The sequence below is a fragment of the Homo sapiens genome, chromosome 2, assembly GCF_000001405.40.
Source record: "Homo sapiens chromosome 2, GRCh38.p14 Primary Assembly".
Lineage (NCBI taxonomy): Eukaryota > Metazoa > Chordata > Mammalia > Primates > Hominidae > Homo > Homo sapiens.
Window position 1 is genome coordinate 218,808,322 of NC_000002.12, and position 7,252 is coordinate 218,815,573.

General features: G+C 48.6%; 1 protein-coding gene across 1 annotated transcript in view; it reads left to right on the forward strand.

Moving 5' to 3' along the window:
• CYP27A1 (cytochrome P450 family 27 subfamily A member 1) overlaps positions 1-6,972 on the forward strand; it is a 33,147-nt gene extending 26,175 nt beyond the window's left edge. The window contains exons 2-9 of the mRNA NM_000784.4: positions 1,256-1,446; positions 3,901-4,100; positions 4,231-4,428; positions 4,603-4,775; positions 5,700-5,866; positions 6,059-6,137; positions 6,224-6,436; positions 6,590-6,972. Of these exons, the coding sequence (NP_000775.1) occupies positions 1,256-1,446; positions 3,901-4,100; positions 4,231-4,428; positions 4,603-4,775; positions 5,700-5,866; positions 6,059-6,137; positions 6,224-6,436; positions 6,590-6,709 (1,341 nt within the window). The 3' untranslated portion in view covers positions 6,710-6,972. The remainder of the gene's footprint in view (positions 1-1,255; positions 1,447-3,900; positions 4,101-4,230; positions 4,429-4,602; positions 4,776-5,699; positions 5,867-6,058; positions 6,138-6,223; positions 6,437-6,589) is intronic.

Below are 7,252 nucleotides of genomic sequence, written 5' to 3' on the forward strand. Positions count from 1 at the left end.
ACAGGTCTAAATGGATGTTAGGGGTTTGTCAAGACTGTCCTTCCAGGAACTGGCAGAATCAGCCATTTGTTCAAGGTGATGTCTGGGTATATGGGTGATATATTGGAGGCAATTATGTTGGATTGGTCCTAGGAGAATCCAGTTTTTAACACCAAAACTAAGATCCAGTAAAGTTGGAGTTTTTCTGGACTATGGGTTGGGTGACGTTTCCTTCTGTAATTTGAATGATAGATTTCATCTCCACAATTGGTAATGTCTCTTTTATAGAAGGTCTTTGGCCTAATTTCTATACTGGAACCGATTCTGATCCTCTCAAAATCTCTTCAGTAACTGATTAGGAAAGATGAAGTGCCCAGGAAACCACTGTGTTTCATTTTCTTTCAGTTTGTAGGTGTAACTTACCTAGGAAATATAGTCTTAGGATTTGTGGGTTATTTTAAATTTTTACCCCCCAAAACGTGTTTCTTTTCCTTCTCATTTTCAGCAACTATAAGACTATCATAGCAATGTCAATTTCATAGAGGCCGTGGATATCTATCGTCAAGTGCTTTAGAAATTCTAAGATAAAATATTTGAGAATTATATTACATAACATGGCCAGTACTTTTTTTTATTTCTTTTTTTGTCATGTTCTTAGATTTCAAAGACAAAATCATATGGAAGCTCAGGAAACTCATGGGAAATAAATAAATAAATAAATATCATACCGCATGGCTTACTTACTTATTTTTGGACCCTGACTTTCTCATCCAGCTTATTGTTTTTTCTGTTTTCTCATCAGTCTTCTTTTTTCTTGTTGATTACATAAGGCATTCATCATTTCATTGACAGCAAGCTGCAGTAGATTTAAATACAAAAAAAGGAGCTATAGGCTTTCTATCTCACCTCACTAAAGGGCTCAGTTTCCCTCAAATGCTGGCCTCCAACATACACCTCAACGTACCTCAGTTTGCCATATAGCCCATTTTTCCAAACTTTCACTCCTCCAAGGACCTCAATGCCTCCAGTTCCACCAGACACGCATTGCTCTAATATTCTAGCTCCTTGTGTGCCCATTTTTTAAATTTGCTCTTCCTCTGGAACAACAGGCCATCCTGGTGCCTACATCATACACAATGCCCTTTTTTTTTTTTTTTTTTTTTTGCCCAGCTCATTTGCTCTTGTGTAGCCATCAGACCCTTCCTCACCTCATCTCCTGTCCTGGGAGCACCTGCCCAGCTTGGCCCAGTTATTCAGTTTTGATTGAACTCCACAGGTGCTTTACAAGGCCAAGTACGGTCCAATGTGGATGTCCTACTTAGGGCCTCAGATGCACGTGAACCTGGCCAGTGCCCCGCTCTTGGAGCAAGTGATGCGGCAAGAGGGCAAGTACCCAGTACGGAACGACATGGAGCTATGGAAGGAGCACCGGGACCAGCACGACCTGACCTATGGGCCGTTCACCACGTGAGCTGGGGCCTGAAGGGACTGGAACAGGGCCCCAGAGGGCCAGGGCGAAAGACAGTGGGCACAGGGCAGGCAGGTGGATAACCGGCAGAATAGTACCCTCTGCATCCTCTGAGCCTGATGGTCTAGAGAGCAGTTGTTGGGAGGTGCTGAAGCCCAGGGACCATTCATTGGCTCTCCACTAATAAATATTAGGTTGGTGCAAAAGTCATTGTGGTTTTCACCATTTAAAATTATGGCAAAAACCACACCTGTAATCCCAGCACTTTGGGAGGCTGAGGTGGGCGGATCACTTGAGTTCAGGGGTTCGAGATCAGCTTGGCCAACACGGTGAAACCCCGTCTCTACTAAAAACACAAAAATTAGCCAGGTGTGGTGGTGGGCACCTGTAATCCCAGCTACTTGGGAGGCTGAGGCAGGAGGATCGTTTGAACCCAGGAGGTGGAGGTTGCAGTGAGCCGAGATCATGCCACTGCACTCCAGCCTGGGCAACAGAGTGAGACTCCATCTCAAAAAAGAAAAAAAAAAAAACTTTTTAACTTGACATCTGCCACTGAGGGTAAGATTTAGGTTGCAGGTTTTCACTGGGCCAGGCCACCTATGACATGACAGCTCAGATTTAGAATCGGAGCTAAACATTATGTAGAGCCCTTTGTAATCTATTTACATTTTTTTCTCTAAAGCCAGTTTCCTGAATAGATGATATCATATGCATGCATTTAAAAGCTCTTTTGTGAATCTTTGAGTCAGATGACTGGGGAAAAAAAGCTATTCTGCTAACTCATGATAAGTTTGGGGTTCTCAAATTTTTGTTTTAACATATATATTTTTAAAATATCATTTTATGAAGCATTGTTTCCTCCAAGTGATTTTTTAACAACCACGTTTAAGTTCTGTATATCCGATTCCTACTGTTGAGAGAGTTTTACTTTTGGAACAACGTGAAGTCCCAACAAATAGGTCTATTCTGGTTTTCATTTCTTTTTCAGCAACACTTTCAGTTTATCTTTTTGCAATTTTCCCTTAACATAATAAAGGCAGCTCCTGGGGTGGGGTGTTGAAGGTCATTAAAGAAAAAATATATATTAAAAAAAATTTGACTGGGTGCGGTGGCTCACGCCTGTAATCCCAGCACTTTGGGAGGCCAAGGTGGGCGGATCATGAGGTCAGGAGATCAAGACCATCCTGGCTAACACGGTGAAACCCCGACTCTACTAAAAAAAAATACAAAAAATTAGCTGGGTGTGGTGGCATGCACCTGTAGTCCCAGCTACTCAGGAGGCTGAGGCAGGAGAATCGCTTGAACCTGGGAGGTGGAGGTTGCAGTGAGCTGAGTGGGTGACAGAGCGAGACTCTGTCTCAAACAAAACAAAACAAAACAAACAAAAATACAACTTTATTGGTTTTAAAAATTCAAAAGTAATACTCACCGTGGAAATTCCAATAATAAAATATGAAGTCTCTTGCCCTTCCACCCCTATTGCATCCTCCTTAGCAACCAGTACTGACAGTTTGTTGTGTATTCTCCCCTCTTTATCCAGGAGCATGCAAATATACATGTGGATAGGTAGGATTTTGTCTCCTCTTAAAATTGGACCATATTGTACTTATTGCTCTACAGCTAGCCTTTTAAAAAAATGGACTCATACCCAGCTTGCTTAGGAAAGGAAATAGGTTTGAGGAACAGCTGGGAGTGGGGGCAGTCCCTGGACATTAATCTTGCTTATGGAAAGTATGTTTCCACCCACGTGAGCACCCTTGCCTAACCAAGGAGGAGGCCTGACCACCTACCTTGCCTAACCAGGGAGGGGGCCTGACCATCTACCGCATGACTGAGGCAAGAGCCTACAGCATCAGCCTCGTGGGCCTCCCTGTCCCTCTGACCCACTGAGCCAAGCAGAGCATGAAGGCTTAGAGCCTGAGCACTCCGGGAACCCTAACTTGGTCCTCCTTTATTCCTCAGCCTCTGCAGCTCCCCCTTATTTGACATATGGAAGATTCCAGAGCTGTATAATTCCAAGATAATCAGTCAATATTCACTAAGCATTCATTATGTACCAGGCACTGAGCTAAGCACTTGAATGATGTGAACGAGCCTACTCAGATAGGCACTCTTATTATCCCCATTTTATAGAAAGGGAAACTGAGGCACACAGGAGTTACCCACCTAGGGTCCCTCTGCCAGGAGTGGTCAGACCTGTGATTTGACCCTAGACAGTCTGGTTCTAGATGCCCGCCATACCCACTTCCACTCTGCTATAGCGAGATTCTGGTTTGGGGATTCTAAGATTCTGTCACTTGAGATTTTGGTGATTCTATAATTCTAAATTCTAGGAGTATGGGATTTCCCTTGACTCTGGATGGAGGGGGTGGTGGACTTCAGGGTGAGAAGATCTCCCTTAATTGAACCCCCATAGAGGCTTATCTTTGTGCTGTTCCTCTGCGTCCCTGCAGGGAAGGACACCACTGGTACCAGCTGCGCCAGGCTCTGAACCAGCGGTTGCTGAAGCCAGCGGAAGCAGCGCTCTATACGGATGCTTTCAATGAGGTGATTGATGACTTTATGACTCGACTGGACCAGCTGCGGGCAGAGAGTGCTTCGGGGAACCAGGTGTCGGACATGGCTCAACTCTTCTACTACTTTGCCTTGGAAGGTACCCTTGCTGGGAGAGGGGCTGGGGAAGGGAATGGGTCAGGGAGAGGTTGTGCTCCCTCTCCTCAAGGGCTCCTGGATTCCATATGTCCTGGTTCTGCCTCCTGTGATGGCCTCTGTGCACTACTCAGCTATTTGCTACATCCTGTTCGAGAAACGCATTGGCTGCCTGCAGCGATCCATCCCCGAGGACACCGTGACCTTCGTCAGATCCATCGGGTTAATGTTCCAGAACTCACTCTATGCCACCTTCCTCCCCAAGTGGACTCGCCCCGTGCTGCCTTTCTGGAAGCGATACCTGGATGGTTGGAATGCCATCTTTTCCTTTGGTGAGGACTCCCAGATGGGGCCCAGGGAAGAGAGATGGGGGTGACTCCAGGTCTGTGCATCAGCGGTCTCTCCCAGGCCTTTTCCCTCATGCTACCAGTTGTCGGAGTGGCTCTTGGTCCTTGGAGATCATGACTTTTGGCTTTGTCCTTTCCTCTTCTCTGTTGCTTTCACAGGGAAGAAGCTGATTGATGAGAAGCTCGAAGATATGGAGGCCCAACTGCAGGCAGCAGGGCCAGATGGCATCCAGGTGTCTGGCTACCTGCACTTCTTACTGGCCAGTGGACAGCTCAGTCCTCGGGAGGCCATGGGCAGCCTGCCTGAGCTGCTCATGGCTGGAGTGGACACGGTGCGTGAAGGGGGAGGGTGAGACCAGGGGCCCCCAGCTCCCAACCTGAACCAGTTCCCTATTATCCCTCACCTGATCCCGACCTTCATCCCTCCAAGGACCTGCTTCTTTTTCTGTAACATGGATACAGCCCTAGAAGGAAAATAGAGGGCTTGCTCAGCTTAGCCGAGGTGGGAGGACAGGGGATGGTCCTTTTGTAAGAAGGATGCCATCACCTCCTGGAGCCTCCTCACTCTCTCTGACAGCTGGGAAGTACATCTCCCATCTATCCAACTCTCTTGCTGCAATTTGAATGGAGAGTTGGAAGAGCTCATTCACAAGCACTTTCTTTCTTTTTTGTTTTTTTTAAGATGGAGTCTCACTCTGTTGCCCAGGCTTGAGTGCAGTGGCTTGATCTCAGCTGACTGCAACCTCTGCCTCCTGGGTGCAAGCAATTCTCCTGCCTCAGCCTCCCAGGTAGCTGGGATTACAGTTGTGCACCACCATGCCCAGCTTTTTTTTTCTTTAAATTTTAGTAGAGACGGGGGTTTCACCATGTTGGTCAGGCTAGTCTCGAACTCCTGACCTCAAATGATCTGCCTGCCTCGGCCTCTCAAAGTACCGGGATTATAGGCATGAGCCATTGTGTCCAGCCAGCACCTTCTTTCTTTATGGTTCCTATTTCCAGTGCTTTCATCCTGTTGGGTTTCTCTGTGTTGCCGTCCCCTCCTCCACTGAAGGTGCGATTCTTCATCATATCGGCCCTCATCCCACTGTGGATTCATGTTTAGCATGGAGACTGCCATGAACCTGCATGTTTTTTCCTGCTAGGCTAGTGGCAAATTCATTTCTCCCACATTTTGCATACACCCACTCATACACCCTCCCATTACTGGCCTCTTTCCTAGAAATCGCCCTCACCTGATCTCCCACTCTATCTTCTAGACATCCAACACGCTGACATGGGCCCTGTACCACCTCTCAAAGGACCCTGAGATCCAGGAGGCCTTGCACGAGGAAGTGGTGGGTGTGGTGCCAGCCGGGCAAGTGCCCCAGCACAAGGACTTTGCCCACATGCCGTTGCTCAAAGCTGTGCTTAAGGAGACTCTGCGGTAGGACAGAATGCTGTTCTGGGGGGCACAGGATCTCTTTGTGGGGAGGGAATCAGAGGAGGAAATCTGAAGTGAAGACAGGTGGGCTGGGGCTAGTGACAAGGATGAGATGGGAGAGGTAGGGGAGAAGGAGTGGGGCACTTTGTACCCCCATGAATCCAGAGCAGACTCCAGACATTCTTTTCCCTGCAGTCTCTACCCTGTGGTCCCCACAAACTCCCGGATCATAGAAAAGGAAATTGAAGTTGATGGCTTCCTCTTCCCCAAGAACGTGAGTGGGGCTAGAGAGCCCGATTGCCCAGGAGTGCCCTATGCCCCCGAAGAGAGGCATTCATGCTGCCCAATCTTCCTTTATAGACCCAGTTTGTGTTCTGCCACTATGTGGTGTCCCGGGACCCCACTGCCTTCTCTGAGCCTGAAAGCTTCCAGCCCCACCGCTGGCTGAGAAACAGCCAGCCTGCTACCCCCAGGATCCAGCACCCATTTGGCTCTGTGCCCTTTGGCTATGGGGTCCGGGCCTGCCTGGGCCGCAGGATTGCAGAGCTGGAGATGCAGCTACTCCTCGCAAGGGTGAGCTGGGAGAGGCTAGTAGGGTGTGTGGGCAGGGAGGGGTGGAGGAGTCCTGGGAGGAGAGGAAGGGAGGCACAGGGTAGGAGTGTGCAGAGCGGGGAGTGGATGGCAAACACACAATCCACCCAACCACATGTGCTCTTTACCCCCCAGCTGATCCAGAAGTACAAGGTGGTCCTGGCCCCGGAGACGGGGGAGTTGAAGAGTGTGGCCCGCATTGTCCTGGTTCCCAATAAGAAAGTGGGCCTGCAGTTCCTGCAGAGACAGTGCTGAGCTGAGTCTCCGCCTTGCTGGGGCTTGTCCTAGAGGCTCCAGCTCTGGCACAGTGGTTCCTGGCTGCTGCCATGTCTCAGATGAGGAGGGAGAGAAGGAGGCCGCCAGACTCGAGAGGTGGGAGGAACTCCTTGCACACACCCTGAGCTTTTGCCACTTCTATCATTTTTGAGCAACTCCCTCTCAGCTAAAAGGCCACCCCTTTATCGCATTGCTGTCCTTGGGTAGAATATAAAATAAAGGGACTTTTATTTCTTATTGGAGACCTTTGTCATTCTTTTTGACTACCCAGCATCTGAGGGAATTCCTCTCCTCCAGTGAGTCACGGTGAGAGGCACAGCCGCCCCTGTCCTTGGAAACTGAGAACACCTTTTGCTTTCCCAGACCTCACAGAGAGGCCTTGGTTTCACGAGGCACTGGTTGAGGCCACACCAAGCAGGAACTGCAGTGACTCCCAAGCACTGTGTCAGTCAAGCTGCGGTTGTAGAGAATATAAACCACCCTCTTTGAACAGAAAAAGCAGATACAGGCAATGGGGTGCTA